Consider the following 18,812-nt stretch of genomic DNA (forward strand, 5'->3'; position numbering starts at 1 on the left):
TCTCAACCTTTATAGGATTGAAGAGAGTTAGGTATTAGGATCTGGATTAGGTTTTGGTTTAAGGGAATGTTGTGGCTGGTTTGATCTTTTATCCAGACCACTGAAACTTTCTCTGTATAAATGATAAGACTGTTTTGCTTTCTTAACATTGTGTGTCATTGGCGCAGTGCTTTTAATTTCCTTCGAGGACTTTTCCTTTGCATTCATGACTTGGCTAACTGGTGCAGTTGGCCTAGCTTTTGGGCTATCTCAGCTTATGATACACCCTCCTCAGGAAGCTTGGTCATTTCTGTCTTTTGATTTAAAGTGAGAAACCTGTGATTGTTTTTTTCACCTGAACACCTAAGAGTCCATTGTAGGGTTATTAATTGGCCTAATTTAAATATTGTTGTGTCTCAAGGAATGGGAGGTCTGAGAAGAGGGAGAGAGTTGGAGGAACAGTCAGTTGGTGAAGCAGTTGGAGTACATACAACATTTATTAAGTTTGCTGTCTTATATGGGTGCTTTTCATGGTGCCCTGAAACAATTAAAATGGTAACACCAAAGATCACTGATCACATAACACCATGTCAGATATAACGATAATGAAAATGTTTGAAATATTGTGAGAATTACCAAAATGTGAAACAGAGACGTGAAGTAAGCATATGCTGTTGGAAAAATGGTGCCGATAGACTCATTCCATGGCAGCGTTGCCACAAATCTTGAATTTGTAAAAAATGAAATATCTGCAAAGCCCAATAAGGCAATTCGCAATAAAATGAGGCATGCCTGTAATTGTCAGTTCTCCCAGTCTGCAGTATTATTTCTGAAGCCCTTCATAAAGTTAGACAGACTTTTCCCTCCAATTTCTAGCTTTTACCTTGTTTCCTCAACCATATCCCTGAAGGGGCTTTGAGCCTCTAATGTCTTAAATCTTAACATCCAGCACTATCACATGCACACCCTTTTTAGCTATCAGGATGAAACTGTTCATCAGTGGCAGAAAGAATGGCTACAGAATAGTCCACATATTTCAGAAAATGTTCTTGGCTTAGAGCATTTGGAATATGATGTGTTATTAACACATGCTGGCTAGGAGTATGTAGTATAATTTGTTGAGCTGTTGCTCATTGGCTGAAAGCTTACGATAGTATTCAAAGTATGCTTTTGTAATAGAGTTACTTTTTCTTTCTTTTTTTTTCTATTTTCACCATAGTATATGAATGTTTATGCACAAAGTTGGTGTATCTGACACAGACAGAAGAATATTGGTTTTGAGTATGTTGAGTTTGAGGTAACTTGTGGGATATCAAAGAGTAATTGTGCAATGGGCAGTGTGTAATAGGAATTTAGGAGAGATTTTTAGGCTAGAAATAGATACTTAGGATGATTATTTTCATAGGTCATTGTAAAAATTGTAAGAATAAGATAGAAGGAGAAAGTGTAGAGTATGAAGAGGACTGTAAAAGGGAAATAAATCTTGGGACCCCCAAAATCACTAAGCTAAAGGGAAAAGTCAAGCTGGGAACTGCTTAGTGCAAACCTGCCTCCCATTCTATTGAAAGTCATTCCTCTGAGGCTCATCTGAGACAAATGAATCTCTGATTGCTTCCTCTGCCCTATTGTTTATGTAAAAATGCAGATTCACTGAGCCAGACTAAATTGTGTATTCAGTGGAAGGCTGATCAAGGACTCAAAATAATCCAACCTTTTGTCTCTCATCTACTTCTAACCTGGAAGCCCCCACTTCGACTTGTCCCACCTTACTGGACCAAACCGATGTACATCTTACACATATTGATTATTAATATAAAATGTATGTCATGATTATCAATATAAAATGTATAAAAGCAAGCTGTACTCGACCACTTTGGGAACATGTCATCAGGACCTCCTGAGGGTGTGTCCTTAACTTTGGCAAAATAAACTTCCTAAATTGACTGAGTCCTGTCTCAGAAATATGGGATTCACAGGGTAATGGTGAATTCTTACTAGTTATATGATTTTAAGCCAGTTATTTGACTTCTCCATGCTTAGTGCCCTCATCTATGTAGTAAGGAAAATAATATCTACATCATATCGCAAAAGCCCTAATTAATGTTATTTTCTTTCTATGTTCCTTCATATATTTCCAACCTCTTTCTAGAAAATATTTATAGTGTTATTCCATAAAGGATTTAAATTTGGCTTAGGAGTTTTCTGGCAAAGGGGCAAAAAGGAAAACTGGATAGATTCCATGGTCCTTGCTGTCTGTCAGGAGGATACAAACCCATTTTTTTGAAAGTGAGTTTTTCTGGCACAGCTTTATTTAATTATTAACTCTTTCCTTTTCCCTTGAGTACAAATATTTGTTTTTACACAGCTCCGTTTTTCTGGCTCAGAATGGACTTAAATATACTATTTGAATTTGTACCTTATATTATTTGCTTGTTAGTTGAAAATTGCTATGCTAAATGATAATAGCCAACAGAAGATTGATTAGACATTAATTTTGAGTTCTAAGATAATGAAAAAATGGGTAAACATGCTTTTTTAAATTTTGAGGGCAATATCTTTTCTTCTGAAAGTCTACTATCTCTTCATAATGTTTTAATACCTGCTCCCAGGCCATCACTTCTCTACCTGTGGATGAATTCTTTTGCTTCATATTCCAAAAGCACTTTGTTGAGGTAGTTTATATAAATTTTTTCTCAGGATTTGGAATACATAGATTCTGAGTTCCCTTTTAGGTATCAAGTGATTCATAGCAATTTAGCCTAAAGGTATGAAAGGACTGATGAGGAAATTTAACAGCAAATATTCCAAAGTTTAAATTGAGAATGCCACATAAGTAAATGTAACACATTCCTATTTTAGTTGCTGAGATAAATGAGAAATGATTATCGTAGACAAAGTTAACTGGATCCCGTGGCTAATTGGCTTGAAATCCATGTATGCAAATAAGTAAGTCTCTACTTTTATTAAGATTGTATACCCCTTCTATCAAAAGTTATTCATTTTGAGGTCATAAGTTTTTTAAAATTACAAATATCTGGGCTTTAAGAAAATGTGAAACCTTTTTAAGGTGAAGATTCAATTGGTTACTTTCTGGGGACTAAAACTTGTAGAATATTCTTTTAAAATTCCAGTTTAATTCCCACTTGAAAGCTGATATCATCAACTCATGGTGACGGTTAGGAAGGAGAGAAAAATAAGAAAAGAAAATGTCTAATATTTTGTTCATCTTCTTTGGGCCAGTTTAGTTGAAAACCCTAACCATCACATATAAATAGTTTATTTGGGAAAAATGTATTTTGAGTTCCAAGTAGCTAATTTGTAAGCAAACTATTGGAACAAAGTCTATTTGTAAATTGACTGCCTTTTCTAAAATGCACCAGGTGTTATTTTTTTCATGTGTTTTCCATGAATCCTTAAACGCATTTCATTATTGGATGTTGATAATATTTTAATTAACTGGTGATCATTTAGGTCATTTCTACCTCTAAAATTTCTATGATTCGGTTAGAGCAGAGATTTTTGGCAAATGATTTAGTTGAATTAAGGTTTCTAAAGTTTTAATGTTCAAAGATATGGCACTTCAATCAATATTTTCTTGTATAGACAAGTTAGGTTTATTTTGGGAGGAAATTTTTTAAAAAATAATATCCTGCTTCTTTCTTACAGAATTTAGTACACATGGGCTTAAGGAAGAATTTATTGTAAAAATAAAATTTTTCTTTTACAATGTTATTACTTGTTTTTTAGCTTTCAAGACCATAGGTTTCTGTTTCATTTTTAAAAGCCAAGGAGCTAACGAAGAATGGAAAGTGCTGATAAAACTAGGTTACTTCACAGAAAGTCTTAAGTATAGAGTTTTTGACAAACTATGAATATTTCTTTTAGGCCAGTATGTTTTAATAATATTTGAAATTTGACATGGAATATAGTTGCTCTTTAAAAAGTAAAGTGAACAATTGACTAAAATTTTGACGAGAATATTCTTGATAAAATAAAATCTGCTAAAAATATGTCATTCAGAGAGAAAAAGGATGTCATTCTGATTTTTAAAAACAAAAACCATAAAAATATTTTTGGAAATGGATAATGACTGAAAATTTGGGCTTCTTCAGCAGATTTTTCTGTTTTCTGCAGAATGTAAAGTTTTATTTGAAAAAATTCCTAGCACTCCTAGAGGCAAAAGATTGCCCATATACTGCTGTTTTGGTTGCTCTGTTGCCAGATAAAATGAACTAGCAATTATCAACTACTACTTCTTCTTCTTCTTCTTTTTTTTTTTTTGAAACAGGGTCTTGCTCTGTCGCCCAGACTGGAGTTCACTGGTATGATCACAGCACACTGCAGCCTCCTGAGTAGCTCCCATCTCAGCCTCCTGAGTAGCTGGGACGCAAGCGTGTGCCACCATGCCCGGCTAATTTGTTGGTGTTGTTGTTGTTGTTTTTTGCTTGTTTGTTTGTTTGTTTTTTTGTAGGAATGAGGTTTTGCCATGTTGCCCAGGCCAGTCTCAAACTCCTGGGCCCAAGTGACCTGCCTGCCTTGGCCTCCCAAAGTGATGGGATTACATGTGTGAGCCACTGCACCCAGCCTATTTTTCCTGTTATTTTATTTATTTATTTATTTATTTTTGGATATAGGTCTTGCTTTGTCACGCAGGCTGGAGTGCAGTGGCTAATCACAGCTGACAGTAACCTTGAACTCCTGGGCTCAAGTGATTGTCCTGCCTCAGCCTCCTGAGTAGCTAGGACTACAGGCATGCACCACCACATCTAGCTAATTTTTTTTAAATTTTTATATTTTGTAGAGGGAGGGATCTAGCCATGTTGTCTAGGCTGGTCTTATATTCTTGGCCTCAAGCTATCTTCCTGCTTTGCCCTCCCAAAGCACTGGGATTATAGGCGTAAGCAACTAGGCCTGGCCTGTTCTTTTTTTTAATGATTAGTTTTTATATATGTATTTTGTAAATATGTAGAAAAAGATGTGGCCACACAAACACTAAACTCAACAGTAGCATATTACCCGTGGGAAGTGAGATACAGAACACAATGAAGTAGAACTTTGAGTTATTTTTCTATATAATTCTATATTTTATAAGCTTTAAAGAAAAAATATTCTTTTCACAGTTAAAATTAGAAATGGAAAATGTTACGTAGGAAAATAAACTGCAATAAAAAATTTTAATACTATTTAAATTATTATGACAAGGCAGATTATAAAAAGTGGAGATGTACAACTGATTTTGGAAACAATATATTATGTCTAATATACAATATAACGTTTAGAAATATTAATGTTCTATATTACCTTGCTGACTAAACTATTGATTGAGTCTAATCTCCAAGACCTTGAGATATATTAATGTTATTTGTGGCTCTGTAATTTTGACTATTTTGGATAGATGCTTACTTATAAATATCTTTAGTTAGTATAGTTGTAAAGTTTGCCTGTTTTCACCTTCCATGGATGGGTTTAATTTCCTCTAACCACAAAGAATAGTGAAAATGCACCACTCTGAAACTTCCTAAGTCCAGAGTGGTTTATCTGGGGTTTAGTTGATCTTGCTAATGACACTATGATCTTTGGAATTTTTCCCTGTTATTTTTTAGTGACACTATTAAGATAGAAATATAGGCCAGGAGTGGTGGCTCATGCCTATAATCCCAGAACCTTGGGAGGTCAAGGCAGGAGGATCGCTTGAGCCCAGGAGTTCGAGACCAGCCTGAGCAACATGGGGAGTCCCAGTCTCTACAAAAAAATAAAAAAATTAGCAGAGCGTGACAGTGTGTGCTTGTTATCCCAGCTACTGAGGAGCCTGATGTAGGACGATTGCCTGAATCTGGGAGGGCAAGGCTGCAGAGAGCTGTGACAACTTCACTGCATTCTCAAAAAAAAAAAAAAAAAAAAAAAAATATATATATATATATATAAAATAGGTATATATATACATATGTGTGTATATATATGTCTGTGTGTGTATGTATATATTTAAAGATCAATGTTAGTATTTTACTAATAACCTTAAAAATTCTTATTTTTCTTATTACTTTTCTTATTTAGCTTATTCTGTAAGTTAAATACACACTTGGAAGAAATCAACTCTTCCCTATTCATTAGAATTTCTCTTTTTCCCTTTGTCTTGTATTCATTTTTTTGTTTTGTGAAGTTTACTTAGTGAGTACTTAGCGTTAGGCACTGCGGATAGAGAACAAGATAGGCAACATTCTGTCTTTATGAAATATACTGTACTTCCTTGTCTAGGAGACAGAACACAGAAATAAATAAGATGATGTCAGATATTGCCAACAAAAGGAGTGATTAGGACTGTGTGGTCCTAACACATATGGAATTGGGCAAGATTACACCTGGAGGACTACAAATGTTTAAATATTTATCAAAACATTCGAATATTTAAAAGTTATAAATCAAGCCACATCCTTGGCCCAGCCTGATTTCCTACACAGCATGTTGAGTTGCCAGCAGCCTATACCCTCAAGACTCAGAGGCTAAAGGAACTGCTCTCTCCTCCCATCCATCTTTGTAACCTGCCTGACTGAGTGGTAGTATGGATCTGTTGGGGTAGGGCAGGGATGATTGGGGTGGTACCTAGACCCATCTAAAACAGTATATTAACAGATCCCACCAAGTCCCCAGGAATCTGGTTATAGAGAGGTTTGCCTCTCCAGTTCATTGTTTTTTCAACTCAAGTCTTCTAGGAAGTTGTAAGCCCTTCTTAATGTTGCACTACCAGAAAAGGGGATGCAGGTATCTGGGAAACCTGGCTTGCCTGGGAATTCGGTTTGCTTTATTTGGGGCAACGAACTTTAACCGAATAAAGCTTTTATAAGCAGCCACTCTTTCTGGGATTTCTCATGGCAGAAGTTGTGTTCATTTTCTCCCTCACACATACTGGAGCGCTCAAAGTTCTTTATCCTCTGGCCAGTGAGGCCTCATTCAGCTAGCACCTCTTTCTTGTAATTGTCATTTGCTCAGTTGATTACTGAACTTTCAAAAGACATTCTTACAAGGAAAGGAAGAAAAAAACATCTGTTTTAGTGCTTGGGGTATATAGGGCTCTCTAAAGAGCAGGCCCCTGGCAGAGGCTTCTCTTGCCCAGGTCTATGGATGATATTGGGACTGGGGATGGAGGTGACCATACAGTAGCCTTTTACATGCTCTTTGACTTCTCCCTATCCTGCTCTTCTTCCTAGTCTCTCACTCAATTTGTTTTAATTTATAAATTTGTTTGATCTGTAAAACTAAACTGGTATCACTTGGGATACCTATATCTGAAAAGTAAGCTCCAAATGAAAAAGAACATTTTCCAGAAAGTTTTTTGGTAAGATTTTAAATAGAAGTGACTAGTTTTCAAGTCTCACTCTCCTTATCCCATAGGGGCAAACTATTCAGATGTGTTGTAGATTTGAACATTGGCTTAAATGTTATGTTTTATTTCTGTCCTTACAGCTGTGAAAGTTGTGTAGATTTACTGTTTGTGAGAGGAGCTGGAAACTGCCCTGAGTGTGGTACTCCACTCAGAAAGAGCAACTTCAGGGTACAACTCTTTGAAGATCCCACTGTTGACAAGGAGGTTGAGATCAGGAAAAAAGTGCTAAAGATGTAAGTATTCCTGCTCGAATGATTCAGTCAACAAAGAGGACTTTAACAATTATGTCAGTAATTGATTATTATTTGCTCATAAATGTGGACAGATTAGCAAGTAAATAACTATAAATTCATTTAAGTTCTTAGAGAACTGAGTAATATTATTTATCTTTGTTAAAGAAGAGCCTCTTGATTGATGGCTTCATTATTCATTTGTATTTATTCTTTGATTAATAAACATGTATTGAGTACCTACTATGTATTGAGTACCTACTATGTGTAAACACTACTATGTGTAAACATGTTATGCATGTTAAGCAGTAGTTATGAAGTGATGAGTAAAACAGCTATGAACTCTGTCCTCATGAGACTTACCATACAGTAGCATAGGATAGCAAAAAGACAAAAAAACAAGTAAACCAAAACAAATGTTATTTATTATAGATTGAGAATAGTGCTATATAGTTAGTGACTCAGTGTTGCTGTGGTCAATGATGTCAGGTGTGGGCAGAGGAGGTAACATTAAGTTGAAGTTTGAAGGCTATTAGAGAAAATTACGTGTTAGCTATAGTTTATTTTGGTATGTGTATTTTTGTGTATATAGATATACACACATGGGCATAGTAAATATATGTGTGTATATATGTATATATATACCTATATATTATTAATCTGTCTTTTTCATTTACAATTTAGGCTTTACTCTTTACTCTTTGTTAATAGTTTTGGGTTTCCTTTTATCTGTTATTATGAGAAATAATTGATATGTTTATTTTTATTTTTGGTGGTATACATTTCAACCCAGGTAACCAGTGTTTTAGCAGCATCTTTCTAGGTACATAACCAATAATACTTTATCAATCCGCCTAGCGGCTCTTTTATTGTTTGTATAACTTCTGCAAGGTAGTCTCTTAGATTTTGATCTTTCATTGGTAATTCCTTGCAATTTACTGATTCTTTACAGGTACATTACAATATATACAGATTTTCTTGATCCAGTATTTTTTAGACTATGTCATGAAAAATGGAGGAGTCGCTTCAATTTTTTGTGTTTTGGAAATTAGTGAATCCCTTAGAAGTAAATAATACCATAATTTCCAATGTTATGTCTTGCTTAAGCTCATTTCCCAATCTTTCAAGCTCCCAATTTATCTTTCCCTGAAGTCTTAACAAGGATTTTGCATATTGTACCATTTTCTCCTGATCCTACTTCTTCTCCGTAGTCATAAGAATTTAAGAATTGCATTTTTGGTCTGGTTACAAACCTGGTGTCAAGAAAAACAGTGTTTTAGGCTGGGCGCGGTGGCTCATGCTTGTAATCCCAGCACTTTGGGAGGCCGAGGTGGTGGATCACTTGAGATCAGAGTTTGAGACCAGCCTGGCCAACATGGTGAAGTCCCATCTCTACTAAATACAAAAAACATTAAGTGGATATGGTGGTGTGCGCCTGTAATAATCCCAGCTATTCGGGGGGCTGAGGCAGCAGAATTGCTTGAACCAGAGAGATGGAGGTAGCAGTGAGCCAAGATTGTGCCACTGCACTCCAGCCTGGACAACAGAGCAAGACTCCATCTCAAAAAATAAAAATAAAAAAATAGAGAACGATGTTTTACACAGTAAGCAATTCTTTTCCATGTATCATATATGAATTAGGTCAGAACAAGCAAACCAGTTAGATAATATTAAAAGCAATGATATGTAATATGTAGATTTCTTTTTTCTTTTCTTAAAGATACAATAAAAGGGAAGAAGATTTTCCTAGTCTAAGAGAATACAATGATTTCTTGGAAGAAGTGGAAGAAATTGGTACGTTTTTAATTTGATGTATGCTAGCCTATAAGACCATGTGCTTTTATCTTTTAAATGCTTAGGAGAACATCTCACATAAAAACCTCTTAACAGGTTTTGTTGTGATAGCTAACATTTACCTAATTACTTTCTTTTGCACTTGAGTCATGTTTGTCAAATTGAAGGCATACTTAAGTAAAGAACCTATTTAATATTGTCTTTTAGGAAAAATATGTTTAATAGAGATAGTAACACTTCATAGCTGGGGAGGAAGACTATATGGGTACATGCATCTGTGTGTTGATAACATATTAGAGTAGTTTAAATGAATGGAAAACATATTCTGATTTTTCAAAAATGGGGTTCCTATTAACCATATTTATAGTGACTAAAGCCATATGTTTATCATTATTTGTGCTTCTGTGGATATAGTAGTCTTAAAGTACTTTGAAGCAGTTGACTGTTGAAGTGGCATTCTATTAATCAGTATTATTCTGGAATCAGAGGTTGGAGTAATCTTTGTGCCTTTTCTTTCTGATGTGTTTAGTCAAAAGGAAGATTTTATCAAGAAAAAATGATTTCAGTTTTCTTAAATAAAATTTCAGAGATGTTAAAAACTTTGGAAGTTGTTATATGTTGATTTAAAAAATAATGCTGCTTTTTAAACTTGCAGTAATTATTACTAAGTGCGGGTTTGGAAATGACACAAAGGTTATATACTGTGAACATTAGAATGAGACTATGAGGATCAAACAGCAATCATTTTTATTCTTTCAAACTTAATAGGTAACTGTACTCAATATTTACTATTAAAAATAAGATTATAATAAAATGGATCATTCTTTAGAAGATTTATATATGATAAACTTAACAATTCAGATTCCTGAGGAATAATAAATATTCTAATTCCTTTAATTTCTTTACTAGAAAATCCAGAAAATCTTTTTGTTTCAACTGTTACCTGAAACTTTTCTCATATGTCTAAGTTCATTTGTTATGCCATAGCAAAAGCATGTGGAAAACATAATTTAGGGTTTCTCTGGGATCTTTCAGTGCCATAAGAGCCACTGCTTTTCCATTCTGCATGTACTCATTGCACTTTGTATGTTATCTTAGCAATCATGAGTGACTATGGATTTTAGCTGAAAAGATGGTAGAATTGGGAGTGACAAGGCAAAGTGGAAAAGTTAGAATGTAGACTGAGAAGAAAAACCAGAAAGAAATCTACAAGAACTGGGCAAGTATGAAGGTATGTAGAAATCTGGCTCTATATAGATACTAAGTATAGGACAAGCTGTTGGATAGCAATTGGGAAGAAAAGTAGCTTACATATATTCTAAAGGTAATGTGATTAGTCAAAAGTCTGGTCAAGCAATAAAGGGAAAGGAAATTATAGGTGTTGCAGTACAAGTTGAATACATGGTCACAATTACAAGCAGGCAGTCAGGATAACTAAAAGAAACATATACAGAGAAGGTGAGGAATAGGTTTAGGGGATGAACTACAAGGAGATCTTGATTCTGGGATTAAGATTCTGACTGAGCTATGATTAAAAAAATATATATATATATATACACACACACACTGCATATATATGTGTGTGTGTGTGTGTTGCTCCAAGATAAAGTAATTTGAAGGTGTGGACAACATGGGGCCCATAATTGGTACTAGAATTGATAGGCAAGAGCAAGTCTGGATATTGGGGGTATACAACATGTAATGCTTTCTTTACCAAAATATAGAAGCTGTGGCTCAGACCATTTAATTTGAAAGTGATTCTGCTATTATGTGTATTCATGAAGGACTGTCTTCAGTTGCAGTATCGGGAAACTCTCTTAAGCAACCTCCACTTAATTGTCTCATTGAAGTAACTGTCATTCCCCAGTTCTTCCATAAAAGGTACTCACTGATACCCACAGCATAATGAATGCATTGTGAATGCCATCAACCTTCTTATGCCAGTTGTACTTGTTATTGTAGTTATGTAGTTATGTAATTAAATACATATTTAATATTATATGTAATTTAAATATTTAAAGTGTGTAAGGTTGGGGAAAAAATTGTAAAACTCTAGAAGGATTCTGTTTCTCAGGTTTTTAAGTCACTTCTTAAAAAATGGAAATTGGCCAGGTGCAGTGACTCGCGCCTGTAATCACAGCACTTTGGGAGGCCAAGGCAAGAGGATTGCTTGAGCCCAGGAGTTTGAGATCAGCCTGGACAACATAATGAGATCTATACCAAAATTTTAAAAAGTAGCTGGGTGTAGTGGCACACGTTTGTAGTCCCAGCTACTTGGGAGGCTGAGGTGGATCTCTGAAGTCTAGGAGTCCAAGGCTACAGTGAACCATGGTTGCGCCACTGCACTCCAACCTAGGCAACAGAGCATGCCCATGTCTCAAAAAACCAGAAAACAGAAAAGGAAACTGAACAATATAGATGACAGTTATGGCCTATATAAGGAAGAAGCAAAACTCTAAAATCTAGAATTTGCTCTATGTCATTAAGTTAGAGAATGACTATATACTTCCTATATATGTTTTAAGTTAAAGTATTTGAAGAGAGAGACAGGTGTATGTGTGTGTTTCTCTCCTTTAACAAACTTATTTAAATGTTCAACTATAAATCCTCATTGTGTTTATTAAAGAGTGGTTCTACTCTATTTAAAGATATTGATGATTTTTGGGAAGTAACCTCTTGGATTTATAGTTTATTTTCTGAACTTCAGTTCAATTCAGCAAGTTTTTAAATTATGTTATGTGAACTGCTTTATGGATGGGGATATGTGGTATTTGCCCTCAATAAGCTCAGACTCTAAAGGGGGAGATAATTATGTTAACTAATAACTATAATGTAATGTGATAAGTCTTATAAATAGGCATTTATAAAATGCTATGGGAATACAGATAAAGCAATTAACCTAGCACTGGGAAATAGAGATGTGGTTTGGTGACATTCAGAGAAGAGATGACATGTGAGTTTGATCTTAAAAGAAGAAGAAGAGTTAACCAGATAGAAAGGGCTTGGAAAAACATTTGTAACAAAAGAAAAAGGCACCGAGATAGAAAAATGTTGAGCATGTTGGAGAATGAGCAAGTAGTCTGTTATAGGTGGGTAAAACATGAGGGATGACTAAAAATGGGGCCTGAAAAACAGGCTGGATTAAGGAGGCCTTAGTACCATAGACAACAAAAGCAAAAATAGACAAATGGGATTGTATCAAACTAAAATACTTCCTCACAACAAAGGAAACAACAGAGTGAAGAAGTAATCTACAGAGTGGGAGAGAATATTTGCAAGCCAGAAATCTGATAAAGGGTTAATCTCCAAAATATATAAGGAAGTCAACTCAGTAGCAAGAAAATACTTGATTAGAAAATGGGCAAAGGACCTGAATAGACATTTCTCAAAAGAAGACATACGTATGGTATATGAAAATGTGCTAAACACCACTAATCATCAGAGAAATGCAAATTAAAATCACAATGAGATATCATTTCACATCTGTTAGAATGGGTATTATCAAAAAGATGAGATAAGTGTTGATGAGGATATGGAGAAAAGGGAATCCTTGTATGCTGTTGGTGGGAATGTGAATTAGTACAGCCATTTTGGAGAACAGTATGGAAGTTCCTCAAATACTAAAAACAGAACTACCATATGATCCAGTAATCCCACTTCTGGGTCTATAACCTATAGCCCTATTCACAGTAGCTAAGATATGGAATCAACCTAAGTGTCCATCATTGGATGAATAGATAAAGAAAATGTGGTACATATGCACCATGGAATACTTCAGCCTTAAAAAAGAAGGTAATTCTGTAATATGCAACAACGTGGATCAACCTGGAGGACATTATGCTAAGTGAAATAAGTCAGTCACAGAAAGACAAATATGGCATGGTCTCACTTATATCTGGAATCTAAAAAAGTTGAACTTAGAGAAGTAAAGAGTAGAATGGTGGCTACCAGAGGCTGTGGGATGGATGGTGGGTGGGGAAAGGGGAGCTGTATGGAGTTAATCAGGTAAACATTGGAGAATAGGCAGTATTTTTTATTATTTTGTTGCCTAAGGATATGAAATTTCAATTAGACAGGAGGAATAAGTTTTTGAGGTCTATTGCACAGCATGGTGACCATAATTAATAATAATGTATTGTATATTTCAAAATTGCTAAAAGAGTAGATTTTCAATGTCCTTGCTACAAAAAAATAAGCATGTCAGGTGATGGATATGTTAATTAATTAGATAAAATAGTTCCACAGTGAATACATATATCAAAACATCACATTGTACCCCATAGATATATACAATTATTATTTGTCAACTGAAAAAAAAAGAGGGCTTTGTAAACTGGGCTGTCAGTTAAGATTTTATCTTGTGGCTAAGAGGAGATACTAAAGAGTGAGAAATGACTTTTCAAGGGGCCATTACAGTAATTTGGATGAGAAATAATGAGGGCTTGGAGTAGATAGTCACAGTGGGGATAGATAAAGAGGATATTTTAGACATAGAATATTCAAGTGGTTGATTTGATGTAGGAAGTGTGTTAGAGTAGGCAAAGATAAATTCAAATATTATGACCTGACCCCATGCAGTTGTATGGTGTTAATCAGGTAAACCCGGGAGAATAGGCAGTATTTTCTATTATTTTGTTTTGTTGGGTGAAGCGTTTGCAGAAATGAGAGATAAAGTGAAAACTTTAGTTTTAGACCTTTTAAGTTTTGTTAGAGTGTGGCTCCACCACTTAGTTGTATGGCATTGTTCGGTTTGTCATCATATAAATAAAACTTTTTTTTTTTTTTTTTTTGAGACGGAGTTTCGCTCTGTCGCCCAGGCTGGAGTGTAGTGGCACGATCTCGGCTCACTGCATCCTCCGCCTCCCGGGTTTAAGCAATTATCTGCCTCAGCCTCCCGAGTAGCTGGGATTACAGGCGCCCACCACCATGCCTGGCTAATTTTTTTTTTGTATTTTTAGTAGAAACGGGATTTCACCATCTTGGCCAGGCTGATCTTGAACTCCTGACCTTGTGATCCACCCACCTTGGCCTCCCAAAGTGCTGGGATTACAGGCGTGAGCCACCGCACCCAGCGAAAACTTCCTGTAAAAATCTTGTTTCAATAGCTTTCTATTTTGTGTTGTATTCATATTTTTAAAGATAGTTAGATGTCTGTGATATCTGTATTATTTGTGTTAATCAGAAGTATAAAATGTTAATTTAATGGACATTTACTAAGTACCAGACTGAGCTGTACACACATTATCTCATAATTTTTGAAACTCTAAGAGACAGGCATTTTTATTCCTATTTTGCATCTGGAGAAGAGGCACAGAGAGCTTAAGTATTGTGCCCAAGACTGCATTGCTAGTAAAGAATGGAGCCAAATTGTAAATATAGGATTTTCTTACTTTCTGAGTCTAGAACATGGAGTTCTATGGAATTATTAGAGATGAGAGAAAAAAAGTAGTTTGGGGCCATATTTTGAAGGATATTAAAGACATTTGAACTCGATCTTATAGGTAGAAGGGTGCTGTTGAAGATAAACGTTTAAATCTGGAGTAAGAAAACTAGAATTATTAGGGTGCCTCAGAGGGTCAGTGTTTGAGGATTCATAAATTGGAGATTGAAGTAATTTTGTTGTATAAATTTCATTATGAATCTTTTGAATATGAATATAAAAATGAAAACATTATAATTTTAATAATAGCATCAAACATTTTCAATAGAAGGGGCACACATGAAGATGGACTTTCTTATGGCATTAACAATAGACTCTTTTCTGTGGTTATGACAATCTATACATAAAATTCTTGTTCCTTATGGCTCCAGAGATTATCTCAAAGGTTTATTCTTAGTTTCATAATGAACAGATTATTCTTTTGGTGCAAAACAGATTATTCTTTTGGTGCAGAGAATACTTATCTTAAAAGGGTGAGAAAGTCCTAAGGGCTTTAATTATAAATTCTGGATGTCAAAAAGACTTCAAAATTGTACGTGAATAACATTAAATCTTTCAGAAAATACAATAGGCTTTTTGTTTGCTTTTAATACTTGACTAAAGGCAGGTCAACATCTAAGCTAAACCAGTAAACAGATAAAGGGTCAAATGATTGTTATAGCAAATTAGCTTCTATTCCTTTTTCTTCACGGCTATTGTACCAACCTGATTCATTGGGTATGAATGAGACCTGCTTCATCTGAAAACTTTTAAAATAGTAATTCGCTTTTATGGTTCTTTTCTTACTTTTTAAAGGAAGAGACTTGTATTATCTGATTATGATTTGCATTTATTATTGCTGTTACCTTTGCTTCTAAATTAAAATCTGAAACAAATTATTTTACTTTTTTTGGAATTCATAAAGTTTTCTTTTTTAAATTTTTATTTATTCATTTATTTTTTAGAGATAGGGTCTCACTCTGTCTCCCAGGCTAAAGTGCAGTGGTACTATCATAGCTCGCTGTAGCTTGAAACTCCTGGGCTCAAATGATCCTCCTGCCTCTACCTCCCAAGTAGCTAGGACTACAGGTGTGTACCACCACACTTGGTTAATTTAATTTTAAAAGTTTTTAATTTTATTTTTTTGGTAGAGATGGGGCCTCATGTTGACCAGGCTGGTCTCAAACTCCTGGCCTCAAGTGATCCAGAACTCATAAAGTTTTTGATAAGCATAAAAGAAATTGCTTATATAAAAACAGATTAATTTCACTTAGGATTTAAGTTTGCCTATTTCTGGGCTCTATTTAATGGAAAAGTTAAAATCAGTAGTAAACTGTCTAGTTTGCTAATAAACAGTGTTTTTTAAACTGTTTTGAACATACTAGTAGAGCTCTACATGGGATATCAATTTGACCGCTTACTTTTCAGTAGATTCATACCATAAGAAACCAAGATAATTTAGTCCTGTCCTTTTGAACCTTCCTCCTTTGCCATGTTCAAATCAGTAATTATAAAGGTTATTTTAGTTAAATCTATAATTATAAAAGTAATTATAAATGTTGGGTATTAGTTTATTTTTTCTCTCATGATAATTCAACAAGTATTTCTTGAGCCCTTACCAGATGAGAAGTTTTTTCTTTTTTCTTTTTTTTTAAAAGTAGACTTTTTTTTAGTGAAGTTTCAGATTCACAGCAAAATTGAGCAAAAAGTATAGAGAATTCCTATATATCTCTTCCCTCTACATGTGCACAGTGCACAGCCTCCCCCATTATTAACATCCTGCACCAGAGTGGTACATTGTTACAATCAATGAACCTACATTGAGATATCATTATCACACAAAGTCTGTAGTTTACACTAGGATTCATTTTTGGTGCTGTATACCCTATGAGTTTTGACAAACGTATAATAATGTGTATCTACCATTATATCATACAGAGTCATTTTAACTGTCCTAAAAATCCTTTGTGTTTTTCTGTGTGTTTATTCCTCCCTACCCCAACCCCTGACAAACACTGTTCTTTTTAGTTTTTATAGTTTTGACTTTTCCAGAATGTTATATAGTTGGAATCATACAGTATGTAGCCTTTTCAGATTGGCTTCTTTCACTTAGCAATATGCATTTAAAGCTCCTCTGTGTCTTGGCTTTATAGCTGATTTCTTTTTAGTGCTGAATAATATTACATTTTTTTAAATCTGCTGAAGGATGTCTTGGTTGCTTCCAAGTTTTGGCAATGATTAATAAAGCTGCTGTTACCATTCATGTGTGGGTTTTTGTGTGAACATGTGTTTTCAATTCATTTGGATAAATACCTAGGTGCTTGATTGCCAGATTATATGATAGAGTATGTTTAGTTTTGTTAGAAACTAGGAAGCTGTCTTCCAAAGTGGCTATACCATTTCACATTCCCACCAGCAAGGAATGAGAGTCCCTGTTGCTCCAGATCTGCACCAGCATTTTATGTTGTCATTGGAGTTTTGCCATTCTAATAGGAGTGCCTTAGAAGTAGTGGAAGTGATAATAAAGATGAATCAGACCTAGAAACTGCCCTCAAGGAACATTCTAATAGGTCAGACAAGATGTGCACATTGAAAATAATTATACAGGGTAGGAAGTGGGTAAATGCCAGCAGAGCGATATTAGACAATGTATTGTAAGCATTCAGGGATGGAGAGATTGTAACTGCAAAGTGTCTCATAAGGAGGAGCTGGTCATTAAAATGGGTATAGAAGGGTGAGTCATATGTGGATATTCACTGTTGTTCTGGGTTGAGGTTGGTACTGAGATGAGCCCTATGGGTAGGGAACAGTTTAATCACAGGTATGGAAATGGGAAAGTGTAGGGGCATACAAATGCAGAGGACTGCTAGGTAGCAGTGGTTTTCAGGCATTGAGAGAAATGACACAACTAGTTTTGTAGGCATTGTAGATAAAAGTTCAGGTTTGGAATCAGATAGCCTAGGTTAATGGCTGGGCATGGTGGCTCACGCCAGTAATCCCAGCACTTTGGGAGGCCAACGCGGGTGGATCACTTGAGGCCAGGAGTTCAAGACCAGCCTGGCCAACATGGTGAAGCCCTGTCTCTACTGAAATATACAAAAATTAGCCAGGCATGGTGGTGCATGTCTGTAATCCAAGCTACTTGGGAGGCTGAGGTTGGATCTGGTAGATGTTGAGGATGGTGAGAGTTGTGAAAGATCATTGGATTTGGTTGCTTAGAGGATGGCCTATTAAATACAAGAGGTAGATTTTGAGTGGTTGGTAAAGATAGTGGAATCACCATTTTAACTAAGGATCAGAGGTAACTTTTTGAGAGTGCTGCTTGTCTGGAGCCTCCCTCTGACTGTTTTGTGTCAGGACTAGAGTGTGATTTATGAAGATTGTCCCACATTGCATCCTAGCCAGATTCCCTGACTTATTTTCTTTCCCACTTTATGTTAAAAAACTGGAGAAGTTGCTAGAGGATAATTGCTTCTCATTTTCTCTCAATTCTTCCAGATTTAAAATTGCGTATGATAAAACTGAATAGACTTTTGCCTTTATACCTAAATGAGCCTGGATTTTCAACAGTGATTATGATAAATTGATGTTCTGAAATAAGTTGGCCTTTTGAGAAGAAAAAAATGAAATTATAGATCAAACTGGTCATTTGAGTCTGTTTGATGGCTTTACTCAACAAAACAAGCAACTCTGTGTTGGTCCTCCGGTGTTACTTTTCAACTCTTATAAGCTATTAAAGGAAAGAGTGAGATGGGGAAGCAATCTGTAGAAACCCAAGGGATAGAGCAGAGTTATTTAGGGTAGATCCGTCTTGTTTGTAGGGCAAGAAGCAGGAAGCAGTGGTAAGTAATTGGAGAAGGGGTGGAAGGGCTAATAATGGATGTAGAAAGATTACAAGGGAAGCTAAAGGAGGCTTGAATTGAATTATGGAACAGGAGAGTCTTACTGATATGGATTCCTCCATATGAGTTTATATATAGCAAGAAGGTCTTTTTTTAATTGTTCAGAG

At 35.3% G+C, this 18,812-nt stretch overlaps 1 protein-coding gene across 6 annotated transcripts in view, besides 2 other annotated features; it reads left to right on the forward strand.

Annotated features, from left to right (window-relative positions):
• MNAT1 (MNAT1 component of CDK activating kinase) overlaps window positions 1-18,812 on the forward strand; it is a 235,205-nt gene that overhangs the window by 54,016 nt on the left and 162,377 nt on the right. For 3 of the 6 annotated variants that reach the window (NM_002431.4, NM_001177963.2, XM_005267688.4), the window contains exons 2-3: window positions 7,441-7,593; window positions 9,311-9,384. In NM_002431.4, the coding sequence (NP_002422.1) occupies window positions 7,441-7,593; window positions 9,311-9,384 (227 nt within the window). Of the gene's footprint in view, window positions 1-2,580; window positions 2,926-4,267; window positions 4,302-7,440; window positions 7,594-9,310; window positions 9,385-10,482; window positions 10,616-10,635; window positions 11,266-18,812 lie in introns of those variants that run through there. The other 3 variants (XM_017021332.3, XM_047431413.1, XM_017021334.3) reach the window with 3 other exon arrangements.
• Window positions 1,306-1,835: an enhancer, noted in NCBI's record as "OCT4-NANOG hESC enhancer chr14:61256800-61257329 (GRCh37/hg19 assembly coordinates)". NCBI's record gives its function as "activates a minimal SCP1, AML or CMV promoter by ChIP-STARR-seq in naive H9 embryonic stem cells {active_cell/tissue: H9 hESC(naive)}" and the evidence as "EXISTENCE:reporter gene assay evidence [ECO:0000049][PMID:30033119]".
• Window positions 4,540-4,749: a silencer, noted in NCBI's record as "fragment chr14:61260034-61260243 (GRCh37/hg19 assembly coordinates)". NCBI's record gives its function as "represses an EF-1alpha promoter that drives an FKBP-Casp9 reporter gene in an ReSE screen in K562 erythroleukemia cells {active_cell/tissue: K562}" and the evidence as "EXISTENCE:reporter gene assay evidence [ECO:0000049][PMID:32094911]".

The sequence above is a fragment of the Homo sapiens genome, chromosome 14 (assembly GCF_000001405.40).
Source record: "Homo sapiens chromosome 14, GRCh38.p14 Primary Assembly".
Taxonomy (NCBI): domain Eukaryota; kingdom Metazoa; phylum Chordata; class Mammalia; order Primates; family Hominidae; genus Homo; species Homo sapiens.